Genomic DNA, 18,483 nt, shown 5'->3' with positions numbered 1-18,483 from the left:
CGGGGAGTGTGGACACCAATGTGCATTTTAACAAGCCCTCCAGGGGATTCTGAATCATGCTGAAGATTGAGAACCACTACTCTAAATAAACCAGTTATCTTAACAGTATCTATACTAGTTGGAATCTAAGTTGAAAGAAGTATATACGTTGGAGGGGTATCGCCAGAGGATAATTCTAATAATCTTGCCCTCCCCAAGCTACTGCTCTAAACTATCATACCTCAAGCAAATCATTAACTTATCATCCTTGCCACATAAACACACAAAGAGGTTATCTGGCTTTTCCTCTGAATCCTCACCTATACAACCAAATAAATAATTTTGTTTTGGAAACGCACTGTTTAATCAGCCTTTTCCAGAAACATATCACCCAAATCCAAGAAGAAAAAGATGAGGACCAAAAGAGATTATCAACCAGATTATACATGGGAATTAGAAATTGGTGTGTGGCATTTTTGCTAACCTGGGAAGGTGTTGGAAAACAGGTTCCTAACAACGTTCTTGTGAATATTTTACATCTGACATTTCAGAAGACATATTGTCAGAATAAATCAGTGCTTTCTACTTAGATTTTGGCCTATAATGTAAACACATTATACTGCAATCCTGAGCAAGTAAGGATGCTAGAGAAAAATGTCACCTTGCACCAAAAAGGTGAAATACAAGTGTACCCTAAAGTATGTTGCTTCTTGGGCAAGTGGTGTTTCATCCACTCAAAGCTACAACCAGCAGGACCTTTCCACCTAAAATCCAGGGTGTAAAAATGTCTTATGCTTGTTCTTGGTCCAAAGAAACTTTGTGTTTTTTAAGATTCATTTAAAAAAAAAGAAAATAAAAGCAGAAGAAGAACCAGTCTCAAGTGCATAATCATAATTAATTTCCATATCACTATTTTCTGGCCATAAGAAAAAGAAAGCTTTGGAGAATCACATTTTCAAGCAGTTTCACACAATCAAAAACAACTTCATTTTCAAAGTACCCACTTGGCAGGTACATACTGTTGCTATAAAAATTAATTACATTCTGTACTAAGTTTGAAAATCATTGTTATTCTTTAGCACACATGTAGCAATTTAAAGTCCTTTGCAATTATAACTATTAGTTACAATAAAAAGGGGTGAGGAGAATCTATGGCACAGAAAGAAGATATTTGAATGTGTACATATTAATGTAATACAATGACACATAAACGTCCTCCTCACCTCATACCTCCATAATGAGCCAATAGAGAACCCATGGACAAGCTAAAACAAAGATCTCATGGCCTATGAAATAAATTGAATCTTTTTTTATTCTTAAGAATAAATAACATTTGTAGCACAAAAAATAACTAAGATAACTTACATGTAATAGACATACAAGAGGATCTGCATGTTCTTGTCAGAATATTTGGAGGTATGGGTCTGATTTTCATTGCTTGGGACCATAAAACTAGCAATAAATGTCATTTCAGAATAATGTATGTTAATGTTTTCTACACCCACATTGACTCATTGATGTTCTTTCTTCTTCCTTTGTTGGCATAACAAACCTACTAGAAAATGTCTATATTCGAGAGTAATGGTCAACTAATCTTTTTGAGTACTAGGTACCTGAACTCACATTATCTTACTTAATCCTCATATCAACACTGTGAGGTTAGTATTATTATTACCACTTGATAATAAACAAATGAACTTCAAGCAGGTTAAGTTCATGGTCACATAGCAAGTGGTAAAACCATAATGTAAACATGGATCTCATAATGCCAATCTCACTGCCTCTGAGAGGGAAACTTATCTCTCTGTGTTATTTGCATAAACACATAAACTTCATCATGGCTAATAAAGAGAAAATGTAATGTACAACCACAGAGAATATATTCTATTTTCATGCCAATTATGTGCAGAATAACATCACTACAGAGGTTTAAGGCAGTTATGTTCCTGGTTTCCAACTTAGCAGTTCCAAAAATGAAGATGGTATTACTCTACTTTCTCATTTTCATAAAGAAAAGAAGGGGGGAAATATTGAACTTAGCCACTCTGTTTGCCATTCTAATTAAATAGTTGTCACAAACCACAGCTCTGTGGCAAAGAAGGATGCTAAAGGCAGCAGCAATATAATTGTAAAAGAATTACACCACAGGCTTCTGAATGTCTTCATTCATAGCCATAGTCAAGTGTTTGCAAAATTCCACAATATACATACAGCCTATTCTCCATTATTTCTATGTTAGTTTTCCATATTTCAAGTTACTTCAGTTCTAATTTCTTCCCATTTCACTCACTAAAAACAGGAATAAAATGGGACAAAGAGAACAAATCACTTAGGATGCTTACAATGAGTTTGATTGACAAAGTCTAGAAGAAAGGCTAAAAGAGAGTTTGGATTTCTGTCAGACCAGTTTCCTAGTTTTAGACAGCAACAGGTTATTAAGAGCTTCCCCATCCCGTGAAAAAAAATAAAATAAAATAAGCATGTCATTATGGTCTCCAACCCACTTCCATCCCCCACACCCTAAATAAAAGACAAAAATATTTTAAATATTAGACTAAGGAAAGTTATTATAAACATATCATCAGTCAGAAGGTGCCCTTTGGAGGAATTTCATAACTAAGAAAAAATCAGTTTGGGTATTTTTGCTTATTTTCTTTTTAATTGTTTTGTTTTGTTTAAAATATTTTTAAAGTTTGTTTTTATTTTATATAATGTAAACTCCAAGAGCCTAGAGCCAAGGCCCTTGGTTTGTCTTGATTGTAGTTATAGCCTCAGACCTTGGCATTAGTGGCACTTAATACTTTGTGAATGAATAATAGTGATGGGGTATCATTTTACCTCCATTTGGAGTTACTACTATAAACACTACTGTGCAAAGTCCATTTCCTATGGAGGGAGATGCTGTGTGCACACTCCAAGAACCTTCAGACTTGGACAGCCTTAGAGTAAATAAGTAAGAAGTTTGTAGCTGGCCCAGAACTAACAGAACTGAAAGACTCTGCCAAACTGGCCCAAAGCCTGTCGTTGAGCAGAGGGAAAAGAAGAAGCAATAAAGAGGAAAAAGAGAAATTCCCTGCAAAGAAGGAATGAGGATGTGAGGATGGAGGAGAAATAAGGCAGAGTGTAAGGATCTCAGCTAAAGGAAAGGAGAGGCTGGGGTAGAGAAAAGCTGGGAGAAACTAAAATAAGTCGAAGCATATGATTGTCTTGGAAAGTGGAGCAAATGTGGAGAAAATAAGACATCAAAAGACCCAGATAACCATCAAAGTATGTGAGTAAAGTTGAAGCCAAAAGCTGATGTCATTCCTAATGTATGGGATAAAGATAATAGAGAGGATGTCCTTATATGGAGAGCTGAAAGTGTGTAGAGGTCAAATCACAGATACCTGCATCAATTAGGCTTCATAAATACTATTCTCTTATTTTAAAAGCCATTCCCTGCCCTTTGGGACCTTTGTTATCTACAGTCCCTTTGATAATCTATTTAACCTCAATTCCCTAGACCCTGTTCATTCCTGTTTTTTAATTTTCTGACTACTCTCTGGGCCTTTCCCAAGATTCAGTGTTAGGTCTAATACATCTCAATATCAAATACAAAAATTTCACCGCTTCTAATTCTTTCCAATTTCAACCAGCAAAAGCAAAATGCTCTAATTCATTGAGAGTCTTATTCTAATAATATTACACTGGATATAATTTTTATTGTGATCTAAAATAGGTAGGTTAGGCCAGGCATGGTGGCTCATGCCTGTAATCCCAGCATTTTGGGAGACCAAAGCAGGAGAATCACTTGAATCTAGGAGTTCAAGACCACCCTGAGCAACACAGTGAGGGCTCATCTCTATAAAAATTTTTTAAAAGTTAGCTGAGCAAGGTGGTGCACACCTGTAGGCCCAGCTACTAGAGAGGCAGTGGGGCGGGGAGAGGACTGCTTGGGCCCAGGAGTTAAAGGTTGCAGTTGGCTATGGTCACATCACTGTACTCCAGCCTGGGCAACAAAGCAAGACCCCAACATGAATGAATGAATGAATGAATGAATGAATATAATATAATAGGTAGCTTCATTTCTTAAAAAATATTTCATGCTCTTTCTCACAAACACATACATTAATAAGGCATACAAAATCTCCACTCAGCTGAGAAAGCATTCAAAAGACATATAAAGACTGGAAAATTTACTAAATAAAAAAGTCCCTATAATGTACTTCAAGGAACCTGTGGTCCCTGTGATTATAGTATTTGTGATTGTAGTTCTCTTTCTCTGTCTCATATTCACACACACATACATGAGCACACTAATATACATAGACACATACCCACACACGCACACACACAACAATTATGAAGAAAATATTATTCCCTCCCCAAAATGTGATGAAACCATATAAAATAATTTGTGACCTTCTTATCTCACAAAAGCAGAAAGAGAAAAGAATAGTACTTTCAGCAAGCCTATGCTAGCTAGTTAAAGGCTAAGAGGGAAAACCTATCAACGGTGTAACATAACAGAAGTAAATGAATATCTCGCTGCCTTCATTCCAAACAGGCACTGACCCAGAGTGATTTTCAGTAAATGTCCCTAAGCCAAGGTAAAGAGGATCTTCAGTAGGTTCCTGCAGCCACATCATTCCAAGGACACATACAGTGTCTAATTTAGATAAGTTTGGTCTACTCTCTTCCATATATATGTAGACATCAGCTCCAAGACATAGGAAAATTTTACTGATTCAGATGAGTGGAAGAATTCTCTGATTTGATGAGGCATCCAAATTAAAAATACTTTAGGCCAGGCACGGTGGCTCACACTTGTAATCCCAGCGCTTCGGAGGCCGAGGCGGGCAGATCACCTGAGGTCAGGAGTTTGAGCCCAGCCTGACCAACATGGAGAAACTCCGTCTCTACTAAAAATATAAAATTAGCCAGGCGTGGTGGTGCACGCCTGTAATCCCAGCTACTCGGGAGGCTGAGGCAGGAGAATCACTTGAACCCAGGAGACAGACGTTGTGGTGAGCCAAGATCACACCATTGCACTCCAGCCTGGGCAACAAGAGTGAAACTTTATTTCAAAAAAATAAATAAATAAATACTTGAAGTAGGGTACCACTTCAAAATGGTAAACTTAGTATATGACATAGTAACTGGGTTTATCTCTTCAACCTTCCTAGATACTTTAAAAATGACAGATTCACAAAAAAACACTTTTTACAAAAGTATAAAGCCACACCAATGAAAAGAACAGATAGAAGACCAGCATAGACAAGAGACTCCAAAAACTTTCTGGAAGAAGAAGAGCAGATAGAATAGTAGAACATGACACCATTTATGCTATTTAGAAATGTCAGTGTAAAACTCCATGCAGAGGGACATGGAGTTAAAAAAGAGAACATCTTCCCTGCAAAACTCTGAAGAAACTCACATTGGAATCTGCCAAGTACAATGGAGGCAGGAGTAAGGGACAGGCTAAAAAGGATGGATTCAAGGAAAGGGATGGATTCAAGAAAGTATAACACTACCCCATTGGGCAGAATACCCAGAAGCCAAAGCATTTACACTGCAGGGCTCTGCTCAAGAAGTATCCAGAAAAGACCAGGGCAATTAGCACAGGTGTTTGTATCTCACAGCAAAGTCTTCTGAATTCTTGAGCTTAGAGCACCCCTCAGAATTATGCCTCCTGCTTACATTAAAGCAAATATTCTTTTTTAAGTACAAATGTACAATTGAGCACCATCAGTGGTTTAAGAGAGGAAGTCAAAGACTAAAACCCATACCTTAAAGAAAAAAGCAGGCAAAAGAATTCCAAAAAAGAAATATCACTTAGAAAACTTGAAATAAAAGTTCTAATTAGTTTTTAGAGATTTAAGAAGATACTGTATCCACAAAACATGAAGAGACTGCTATGAAAAATAGAACAAGGAAAAGATTTTAGATTAGACCAATAATTACCTTAAAACCTATATGTATGAGATTATACATACAGCCAAAAAAAAGAAAAGAAAAAACCTCAATAAAACTGTTAGAAAATATTATAACAAGAATTTTCCAAAGAGCATGGGAAGAAGGGGCAAAGAGCCAGAAAACATAAGAGAATAGATAAGAGGTCCAGGAACCCCAATATCTGATTATTAGGAGTTCTACTAAGCCAGAACAAGGAAAATTGTAGAGAGAACATTATCAAAGAGAATATAATATCCCAGAACATTATCAAAGAGAATTCAAGAGTCCAAAGATAAAGGACATATTTCTTCAGATCACAAGGACACCCAGGGAAAAATAAAATAAACCAAAAAAAATTTAAAAATTCCTGTATGCAGATGAATCATTGTGAAATTTAATAACACTAAGGATGAAAATAAAAATCCAAAAGTGTTCTATCTAGAAAGGAAAAGCTACAAGAAACAGATTTTGGAATTCTCTTAAGCAAAACAGAATGGTAGAAGATAATGGGAACATGATTTCAAAGGACTGGAAGAAAATTGTCTTCAATAAAGAATTCTATATGCTTCCAAATCATCAATTGAGCATGAAAAAAATATATATAGAAAAGCTGGGGCCAAAAAAAAAAACTCCAAAAAATTTTAACCTTAATTTGTCCTTTTATACAAAGTTACTGACAGTGTGATAAGCAAAATGAGGGAATTAACTAAGAAAAAAAGAGATATATGGTCTCCAACGCAGGATGACAATGAAAGTCAATGCCAGAATGTCCACTGTGCAGTGATGTGGAAAGCAATCAGTCTCGTAAAGCAGGAGGGCAACATAGGGAAGAGAGGAGCTAACAGGAGGGGCGAATCTGCAAGGAGATATCAAGGGATTCCATAGGTGTATCAGTATCCTTGAGATATTGAAAGAGCTTAGGAATGTAGTAACAATAGGCAATTTTTAAAATGCAATCTAAAACTCCATATTTAAGAAAAACTACCCAAAAGAAAATGTACTTACAGTTCATTACACAGCTTTAGGGTAAACCATATTCATATAGTCATAATGATATAAATTCTATTCATGTATTTCTAACATTAGAACAAACTGATAGAGAAAGCACAAAATTTATAGATAAGAGACAAGAATATAAATCTAAAGGCTGGGCGTGATGGCTCACGCTTATAATCCCAGCACTTTCGGAGGCTGAGGTGGGCGGATTGCCTGAGGTCAGTAGTTCGAGAGCAGCCTGATCAACATGGAGAAACCCCGTCTCTATTAAAAATACAAAATTAGCCGGGTCGGATGGTGCATGCCTGTAATCCCAGGTACTCAGGAGGCTGAGGCAGGAGAATCACTTGAACCTGGGAGGCAGAGGTTGTGGTGAGCCGAGATCATGCCACTGCACTCCAGCCTGGGCAACAAGAGTGAAACTCTGTCTCAAAAAAAAAAAAAAAAAAAAAAAATATATATATATATATATATAAATCTAACCTATATTGACAATAAAAAGTACAAGCACCAATGACAGAAGTCTAGAAGGGAAGCAGCAAAAAGAGGGGCAGCAAAGAGTAGGGATGCTAACATTCTTTTTTTAGTTTTTCTTTTCTACTTTTTAAATTTTTTATTATTATACTTTTAAGTTCTGGGGTACATGTGCAGAACGTGCAGTTTTGTTACATAGGTATACACGTGCCATGGTGGTTTGCTGCACCCATCAAACTGTCACCTACATTAGGTATTTCTCCTAATGCTATCCCTCCCCTAACCCCCTACTCCCCAACAGGTCCCTGTGTGTGATGCTCCTACATCCTTTTTTCACAAGGTAAGAAGTCAAAAGACCCTGTCAATATTTGCTACAAAAATAGGTTTTTGTAGCAAATTATAAAAAATAGAGACATAGGTTTACTACTTAAAATTACAAATGCAATTAATAATGGATTAGAAATAATAATACAAATGTATTTGAAGGAAAAAGGTGTACAAATGAGGTAATTTTTTTTTTTTTTTTTTTTGGTGGGAGGGACGGAGTCTTGCTGTGCCGCCCAGGCTTGAGTGCAATGGCGTGATCTGGCCTCACTGCAACCTCCTGGGTTCAAGCCCCCTCCTCACTGCTCTAGATTTACAGCTCACAAAACATGACTTGGGAAAAGGCCATTCAATTGGCTTCCTCATGCAGTAAACTCCTCAGGTCTTGCTGACTGCACATTCATTTAAGTGATACACTCTTAGCAATCAATGACTATAGGACACCCACAACTCTAGCAGTAGCCTCCAGAAAAGAAGAGCACAAACACCTCTGGACCCATAATGCCTCTTTCACCCAAGTGACCCTGAAGACACTGTAGACCAAAGTGCTGTAAGTCTGAGAAAGAAGAGAGGTAGGGTACAACCTGTCCCATTGTGCACTTGCTCATATACTCATTTTCTCCCCCTTGGAGAGATTAATTACGCAATTCAGCTAAAGTGCCATCTAGGGTCCAAATGATGTGATAGCTTCAGGACCTCAAGTGATCCTAGAGTTACTCTGGAAAATTCTGTTCAGAGCTATGACAGCCACAGGATTTCCTTCTTATTGAAAAGCCCAAGCTGAACTGAGATGCTTGCAGCTCTTGGTTGATACTGTGCTACTCCTAAATTACATCAAGTTATCTAGTTCTAAGAAGTCTCATTGGTGAAGATATTTGGCTCTGCAACACAGACCTGCCTAACATTACCTGCTACAGGCATTATTTTTCTGACTGGAAGGCGACAGAGCGGGGGCAGTAGAGGAGAAGACAGCATGGTGGCTCACACGTCTCCTTTCTGGATGGGCCTAATGGATCCATAAAGACATATATAAAAAGAATTATGCCAATATGTTATTAATATCATGAAAAAAGACAAAATAAGAAAAGGTAGTAAAATGGAAATAAAAATATCTTATCAGGATGTCATAAGGATTAAGCAAGCAAACACATGTGGAAGTGTCTTGCTCAGCTGTTCAATAGATGTTAGTTTTCCTCTCTTTCCCTTTGCCCTGTAATCATGTGCATAAATCCCTCTGAACTCAAGATCCTTACGAAACAGTAAACTACATTTGCCATGGTGCGATCCCATATACTCACCATTTGTAATTTTCTAGTCTAAGAAAATGAGTTCAGAGAACTGAGAGGTTGCAGTTCTAATTCATATCCTGAGGTGGGGGTTGAAATCTTGAGCTGACTTAAGAAATAAGGAGTGAGACCTAAATGTAGTTGTTATTCATCATACAGAGGGTATGTGATGACTTTAGGCAAACCAATACAAGAGCTTCTAGGAAAAATGTTAGATGTCTCACTTACTGCATAGGTCATTAGTAATTATTTACTTAAGAAATCAATGCAGTAAGTACCTCGCTTACTTATGTATATACATCACGGATATAGAAAGTTCTTTAATGGTAATTTCTAATGTTCTCTTGAGGAAAGTATGGTCTTAGCTCATTCTAGTATCTGTCATTCTGATTTGAAGGCAATATATACTTTCCTATATTTACTACTAAAGCAGTGTGGAGAATGAATTCGGTAGGAAAAAAAGAGCAAGTGGTAAAATATATGAATCACCATGCAAAAAAAGCTGTGGGAATGCTTCACTGGGCCTAGTTATACTAGTTAAAGATTGCTTAAGCCAGTGGGCAAAGGTGCATTTAAAAAAATCCATTTTCTGCTGAACCAAGGTAAAGAGAAAAGCAAAGAATGAGAAAGAAATTCATATCAGAATCAGTATCAAAACTTTGGCTTCAGAAATTCCCCCAGTACAGCACTACTAGAACTTTCCCACAGTTGTACATTATCTCTGGACCAGGAACACAACACAGTGGAACAATGAGTTTAGATACCCCACAAGGTGGGTTCTCTGGAGACTGGGTATGTTGTAGATGTGGCTCATAGAATCACAGAGTTAAAGGGCAACTGGAACTCATCTAACCAACTTCTCATCCAAGCAGTTTCCCTCCTATAACATTATACATAGCCAGTCTCCTAATATCCATTTACATACTTTGAGTGACAGGAAGCCTGCCACTTAATGAAGTGATCCATTTCATTTTAATAAAGCTCATTTTTATGTGGTAAACTGTTTCAATATCCCAGGTAAGCAGTAGCATTTGCACAGACCAAGAAAAAGCGTGAGGATTGTGTTCAGAGTGCCAACCCAAGTACACAGATGCTCAGAAAAAGCTAGTTTTCACTTAAATATGTATAGCTTCTATTAGTCACCTTAGAAATAATGTATGTCTTCATATGTTCCCAGGCTTAGCTTAGAATGTTCATGACAAGGCCCTCATTGGTCCCTGCAGTCCTCATCCCTCCCAATAAAACTAGTGTACAAAGGTCCTTTGAAGAAAAAACCCTGCTTCCTCATATAAGAGGACTATATCCTCACCAACAGGCCTTCGCCAGCCTGAAACTGGGAAAACTAAAACTTCGATCACATCATTGATTTTTTTTTTTTGGAAAATCAATGAACTATAAAAATTACATTCACTCCTTAACCAAAAACATCAGGAGTCTCAATAAAATATCTTCTTCACTAAAATGATCACCCAAAGTCTACTTTCCTCTAAATATTTGTATTGAGGGAGCTCTCATGAACTAACTAAGCTGCCTTTTCTCCAGTTCCTTTAATCAACACTCCTATGGCCATGTCTAGATCTCTCACTACCTAACGACCTCCTCGACGGTCTCTACGTTCTCATTCTCCTCCTTCAGATGTGAACCACTCTCTCTACAAGCACTTCTCACTTTGTTCAGGATAAGCTCCACTTTATCCAGTAAACTAGTCCAGTTATCATAAACATCACTTGTTCCTTGGTTAAAAACAAACAAACAAACAAAAACAGTCTAGTGAGCCAAGATCACACCACCTCACTCCAGCCTGGGTGACACAGCGAGACGTGTCTCCAAAAAAAAAGGTCTAACTGGTAGCTCTCTAAGATAGGGACTGTGTCTGCCTTAATCATTGTAAATTCCCAGCACCTAGCTGAGTAGTGAGCAAAGAATAGTACTCAAAAATATTTAAATGAATGAATGAATTGATGATCTGAATGAATTAGTATACTCCCCAAAACTCTACCCCTATAACTGGGTATGATAAAATTATCGCCACTAAAGGGAGAAGGAATCTTCCCAATCTGAGGTTACGATAATCACTGTTACTGAAGACAACAGTCACAGCTCTCTTGGTCATTATTATAATAATAACAAATATAACCTGAGCCACTATCTGGGTAAGAGGAAGTGCCACTTTCTTACAGGCTCTAGACACTTCCCTAGAAACTCAGACAAAAATTATTCAAAGGTGCTCTCAGGAAAATGGAGAAATAATTCAACCTTGAAACCTACAGCAATTCCCAAAATCAAGACCCTAGCTTAAATGTGTGCTAGAAGAATCGATTTTTAAAGCAAGACATTTACAGATGGAAAAGCTTGTCATTATAGTTGAATTGATCCTGTTCTTCATCCTCGAAAAGGATGCTGAATCTCTGCTACATTCACCTAGTAAGACTGCACTTCGATTTGTAACCATGGTTACTGCTTGCATCACAGTGAATGGCTCTTTCTGAGGCAAAAGCTGATCACAGCCCATAATAGTAAGTGTGCTCCAGCTGTTTCCTGGGATTGATAAGAATGGGTCTCAGAAAACAGAACCATTGCAGAAAATTACACTTCAGAATGCCGACTTGTTGTCCTTCATTGAGAAACACCAGGCATTTCATTTTCTGACTTGAAACAGTAAAATACTGACTCATCAGTGTCTACACTTCTTATGAGCAGACAAGAGCAGCATCTGTGGCTGGAAGTAAGGAAACCTGAGAGTAGAGAGAACAAGAAGCAGAGGGAGGAATAGCAAGGAAATGTGCCATCTGGAGTCTAAACCCCCAAGTTCAAACCCTGTTCCCCCCAACTAACTGAGTGACCTCAAACACTCCGTGTCAGATAGGCTAGATTACAGTAGAACAATCTTTGATTCTCATGGCTTAAAACACCAGTGATTTATTTCTTACTCATGATAATAACCATTGTGGATTGGCTGGGGGTTGGTTCTGCATTTATGTCCTCAGGCCAGGACCCAGATGCATGGAGCAGCCATTCTCTTTAAAGCTTTCCTGGGAAATGACCTCTATTACTCCTGCTCACATTTCCTTGGCCAAAGAAAGTCATGAGCTCACACCTAACTTCAAGTGGGTTGAAGACGTAGGGTCCTCATACCTGCCCAGAAAGAGACAGACCTGGAATATTGGTGAATAGCCCTAATGACTACCATAAATACTTAACTTCACTGAGCCTCAGTTCCTTCATCTGTAATAAGGAGTGAGTGATGCTTACTTCAGAGAAATGTTTTGTGGGAACTGGTGTAATAAATGATAGCTGGAGTAGTCATAGTTGCCCTGTTTGTGATATCTCAGTCATGGATAGAATGATCTAGACAGTAAGAAACGAAGGCCCTAACCAAAGAATCTAATTCTCAAATTCTACTACTATCAGCAGCCACAGAAAAGCAGCAGAGCTTCCCTCATGTCACTGTGTCTGGTCAGTTTTTTGGGCGATATGAAGACTAAAATCTGATCAATTTAGAAAAATCATTCCTGCTCTAGGTTTACGTTACCTCATCTTTTCTCTCCCTTTCAGGTTAAGTGTCCATTTAGTCAACAAATATTTATGAAGTGTCTGTGTATCAGGCCCTATGTTAGACCCTGGATGAGGAACAAATCAGTTTCTTCAAAAAAGCCCCAATCTATGCAAGAGGAATCACAATTTGTGGCCCAGTAACAGCTCCACATATCACCATCACCACCACCAGAAAAAAAAAACTAATTCATACAAATAAAGAAATCTAGATGAATTTGAGAAATTCGTCATCGTTCCCTCCAAACTCTGTTTTGTCCAATAGTCAAAAACAAAAATGGAACCACCTTATTGTTCAGAATGTTTGTCTAAGCGTGTGACATTATGTTTGGCACCAAGAATACAAAACTGAATGGGTTCTGCTCAAGCTCTTTAGATACTTTGCCAATGATGAAGGAAACATATTTGTATTATTGTATAATGATAAGTCAATGGGGGAAGGGGGTTGGGGTTATGAGAGCACAAATAAGGGAGAGTTATTTGTGCAGTGCGATGGGAGGAGGAGGAGATGATGAGAGTTATGAAAAAAGTCTCCTGCGGGACATAAGAGCTTTAGGGATAGGTTAAATTTAGTCACATCAAGAGGGGGCAATTGGAACAGCATGAATAAGTGATAGAGAGATTGCAAGGCATGGGATCTAAGTATATAGAAATCTAAATTACAAGAGCTTGTAGTACAAGAGTGGGAATGGCAAGAGATGATTAGGGCGTTAGGCAGAGACCAAGTTCAAAAGCATTCCACAGGCTAGAGAACTCAGGCTTGACATTATAAGTATTAGCCAGGCTAGGGAACATGAACCTGAGTTTAAAAATGATAGAGAGTCATCACTAAAGGTTTTTGAGCAGAGGGAGTGATGTGTGGCGTTCATAACGTAGATCCTTCTGGCAGTTGTGAAAGATGGATTTTAAGAAGTCAGAGTGAAGGCGTGGAAAACAAGAGGATATTCAAGTGGTCCCACAAGAGATGATGATAAAAACCTGAATTAGAGCAGTTGTAATAGTCAAGGAAGGGTGGGAATAAATCAGAAGTAAAATGGCAGAAGAGTATGGTTACTGAAGGGTACAGAGGGTGAAGGGCAAGAAGAAGTCTAAGATGACAGGGACTTTTTGGCCTGACAAGGGGATGAATGAGGATCTATTGAGGTGGAGGATGCATTAAGAGGAGTAGAAATGAGATCTGAATTACCAGGACAAGTCTAAACACAATAAATATTCAGCTTACCATGGAAAGAAAAGCCTCGTTTCTGAAGATTTTGCCAGCAATTTTCATCAAAGTAAAATTCGACAGTTTGCTGCCAAAAAGAAATTTCATTATTAACTTTGAAATTGATATCTGTAGCTGGAATACTGCATTTGCTTTTCCTTCTGTCTCTCTCACTCACATGTGCACAGACAAACGAATTCAAGTATTTAGCGCTTGAGCTGTCTCCAATCATTAAATCCAGACATTGTTTGGTCTAATAAGAGTGCTTTACTGTATATTTGCATGAAAGACTGTCTATCAGTTTCAAATTAATGTAGTATACTTCAGAAGTCTCCTGTAAAACCACAGTCTCACCAGTTCTTCAGTAGACCTTGAACTGGCAACCCTCCCTCATTATGTGAAAAGCCCTCATCCTCCATTGTAAGAGTATGCAGGAGATTTTCTGCACAGTGGCCTTCCATAACTTCACATTGCTCTCAGCCTTGCCAAGAAGAGCACACTCCAAAGTCAAGTTATAATTCCTTTTGTGACTGGGTGGTAGTCATTAGTGCTGCCCACCAAATATTTCTGAATCTCCACCTTCAGGGCACATGGTAGCATAATCATTCTTCAAAGTGAGATGTGGACACATGGTATGATTTGGCTGTGTCCCCACCCAAATCTCAACTTGAATTGTATCTCCCAGAATTCCCATGTGTTGTGGGAGGTACCCAGGGGGAGGTAATTGAATCATGGGGACTGGTCTCTCCTGTGCTATTCTCCTGATACTGAATAAGTCTTACGAGATCTGATGGGTTTATCAGGGGTTTCTGCTTTTGCTTATTCCTCATTTTCTCTTACCATATAAGAAGTGCCTTTCACCTCCCGCCATGATTCTGAGGCGTTCCCAGCCACATGAAACTGTAAGTCTAATTAAACCTCTTCTTCTTCCCAGTTTTGGGTATGTCTTTATCAGCACCATGAAAATGGACTAATACAATACATGACTCACTATGTCAAATGAAATATACACAAACATGATGTATTATTTCTGTGCAGAACTTTACGAGGCAGCTTGTGAGTCACCATGACCCTTGCTTACTGCTACGGTGACTGTGGAAACACAGATGAGAGAAGGCTTCTATTAGCCTGATCCTAACTAACAATGATGAGCAGAGACCCCTGAAGATCCACATTACACATATAGTAGCATGAGTAAGAAAGAAACTTCTGTGTTGTTAGGCCACACAGATGTTTGGGGCTAGCTCACACTATAGCAAAATCTAGCCCATTCTTCATGACTTGTCATGAAACCAGCAAAGACAGAAAGTCAGGAAGACCTGCTCTTCCTCTCACCCCAACAAAACCATTCCTACTCCACTATCCCTCATCAATGTTCTCTGGGAGAACAAAGAGGAATCACAGTCACAAACACATAGTAGATATCATTTCTCAATGACTCTTAACCTTCCCTTTCAATACTTTCAATTATTACCACCACACTTCATTTATTTCCTGATTTGAACCATCTGGTTCTATTGTTCATTCATTCATTCAGCATATATTGATTTACTGCTATGTATAAGGCATTCTGCCAGACACAAAGAAGTAGCAGTTATCAAACTTTTTGGTCTCAGAACACCTTTACACAATTAAATATTAAGAGGGTCTGTTTATTTGGGTCATATCTATCAATACGTGTTACATTAGGAATTAAAACTAAAAATTTTTAAATATTTATTCATTAATTCACTTTAACAATAAACCATTGCGTGTTAACATAAGTCGTATATCTTATGAAAAACAACTATACTTTCAGAAACAAAAAATTTCATAAAAAGAAAGGCACTGTTTCACATTTTTACAAATCTCTTTAATATACAACCAAATGAGGCCAGGTGAGGTGCTCACGCCTGTAATCCCAGGACTTTGGGAGGCTGAGGCAGGTGGATAACTTGACACCAGGAGTTCGAGACCAGCCTCGGCAACATGGCAAAACCCCGTCTCTACTAAAAACACAAAAATTAGCTGGGCATGGTGGCGCACATATGTAGTCCCAGCTACTTGGGAGACTGAGGCAGGAGAATCGCTTGAACCCAAGAAGTGGAGGTTGCAGTGAGACAGATCGCACCACTGCACTCCAGCCTGGGTGACAGAGTAAGTGAGACTCCAACTCAAAAATAAATAATAAAATACATTTAAATATATGTATATATATTTTAAACATATATATATTTTAAATATATATATATATATGATTAAATGACACACAATTGGATTTTCTTGTCTGCTTCTGTGTTCAACCTGTTAAAATATATTTTAGGAGGCCAGATGCAGTGGCTTATGCCTGTAATCCCAGCACTATGGGAGGCTGAGGCGGGTGGATCACGAGGTCAGGAGATCAAGACCATCCTGGCTAACACAGTGAAACCCCGTCTCTACTAAAAATAACAAAAAAATTAGCCAGGCATGGTGGCGGGTGCCCGTAGTCCCAGCTACTTGGGAGGCTGAGGCAGGAGAATGGCGTGAACCCGAGAGGCAGAGCTTGCAGTGAGCCGATATCGCGCCACTGCACTCCAGCCTGGGTGACAGAGCGAGACTCCGTCTCAAAAAATATATATACACACATATATATGTGTGTGTGTGTGTGTGTGTGTGTGTGTGTGTGTGTATATATACAGGTATATATGTGTATGTATATATATATACACAAACGTATATATATATACACACGTATATATGTATATATATACGTGTATATGTATATATATATACGTGTATATATGTATATATATGTAGTTTTGGTTGAATTACATGATGAAAATCCTAGGACCTTTCAATCCCTTTGAAAGGGTCTCAGGGACACTTAGGGCTCTTCAGTTCCTACTTTGAGAATCAGGACTACAGTATAAGGGTCAGAAAATGTTTTAATGACAGGTAGTAAATATTTCAGGTTTTGTAGGCTACATGATCTCCGCCACTACTCCGTCATTGTAGCATGAAAGCAGCTATATAGACAACAATATAAACTAATGAGCATGGCTTTATTCCAACAAAACTTTATTTACAAAACCAGGTGGCAAGCTGGATTTTGTACATAGGCCACAGTTTGTCAATCCCTGCAATAAAGGATACCTAAATGAATCAGACACATTCCTGCCCTTAAGAAATTGATAGCTAGTAAAGGGAATAAGACATGTACTCATACATTATAGTGCAAAGTAGAATGAGATAAATGTCATGTGAGGAGTCTCAGAAAAGGATCAGAGTTCAAGGTCAGTAAAGAGCACCTCAAGTTAAGAAGCCTTCAAGGAGAATGTGGGCCTTGAAGGATGGTCAAGATTTTAACAGAAAGTTTCAGGAGGAAGAAGAATATTCCAAGTGGAAAAATCATTCAGGATAAAGGCACTAAGCGTCCAGCAAATTCTAGTAATGGGAAGTGACTGCTGAAATGTAGTATAGATAAAGGCAAATACAGAAAGATGTGTGAAATACTACTTAATCAACTTTAGTTCACTATGGGTTAGGCCTTGAATGCCAGACTCAAGCATTTGGAGGTTGCCTGAGATCCTCTCAGGTACCACTGAACACTTCCACATGAGGAGGTAACTTATCAGCCAGGTATGATAAGGTCAACTGGAACAAAGTGTAAGATGCGTTTCCATATGCCCAACTATAACCACTGACCCCAGAAAACAAGCTACTGGATCAGACTAAGCAAAAGGAAATAAGGACATGAACAAAAGCAAGGAAAGTCAGACTGGAAAGGAGACTGAGGCAAGCAACAATATGGAGGTAACATTTAACAGGTTTAGTGGTATACTGGAGGTATAATCAAAGTTGCATTAATCAAAGTTGACGCTAAGGTTCCAAGTCCGAAAGAAGGGAGAAAGATGGTAAGGATCAGGAAGGTTTGGAAAACAGACAGCTTTGGTGATGAGCAGGAGAGTCTGATTATAAATATATCACACATATCACCATTTTGTCAAGCACAAGTCTGAATCCTCACAAATCCCAAAATCTTATTAGGAAAAAAAAAAAACTGTTTTACAATTTTAGCAGACTGCCAACGTTTTTCCAAATATGTGCCTCTTGAAATCTCCTCCAAGTCCCCAGTATTCTGAAATATAACAGAATTTCTACGTTTTTATTCTCTCATCTTGATTTTCTCTATTTATAGTTGTCTAAAGTCAGCATAATATATTTTAGTCCATTGTAAATGTAATATTAGATATCAAGGAAATAATTTATGATATGTTTTTCATAAATTCAGGATAAACAGTAACTAATTCCTTTATTAAAAAGTGGTTAGAACTGCCTGTATCTTAAGAATGTTGTAACTCATTCTTGCATACCACATACAATTTCTGAATGTCTTACGTTAACTAAAAAGTCTGAACATAGACATCAGGTTGCTGAAAGATTTTATTTCTTACAATCTTTTGAAAATTGTGACTATGAAAAGCTACAGTGAAGGAATTTTTAAAGTTGTACTTGGAATTGCTTTAGATTTTAAAGGCCAAAAATATACGTGGAAATGGTACAATAAGTGACCCAAATAATATTTCCATTCAAAAACAAGTCTGCATCTGAAAAAAACAGAGGGATGGAAAGTGAGATGCTTGGAATCAAGATAAGAATGCTCAAAATTCACTGGGCAATAAAGAGAGTTGTGATGTGGTGGTTGTTCTCCACCTCAAAAGAAAGTTTAGGAGAAAAAAACACCAAGCTAAGAGTGTGATAACAAAGCAGGAA

The 18,483-nt window shown here is 38.0% G+C and overlaps 1 protein-coding gene across 13 annotated transcripts in view; it reads right to left on the bottom strand.

Moving 5' to 3' along the window:
• SLC4A4 (solute carrier family 4 member 4) overlaps positions 1 to 18,483 on the bottom strand; it is a 509,424-nt gene that overhangs the window by 179,528 nt on the left and 311,413 nt on the right. The window contains exon 2 of one of the 13 annotated variants that reach the window (XM_047416348.1): positions 13,768 to 13,837. The exons of 10 other annotated variants lie outside the window; for them this stretch is intronic. In XM_047416348.1, the coding sequence (XP_047272304.1) occupies positions 13,768 to 13,837 (70 nt within the window). Of the gene's footprint in view, positions 1 to 11,333; positions 12,891 to 13,767; positions 14,588 to 18,483 lie in introns of those variants that run through there. 2 more of the 13 variants (XM_017008793.2, XM_011532390.3) reach the window with 2 other exon arrangements.

Source organism: Homo sapiens, chromosome 4 (genome assembly GCF_000001405.40).
Source record: "Homo sapiens chromosome 4, GRCh38.p14 Primary Assembly".
NCBI lineage: Eukaryota > Metazoa > Chordata > Mammalia > Primates > Hominidae > Homo > Homo sapiens.
This window is presented reverse-complemented; position numbering and strand designations above follow the sequence as displayed.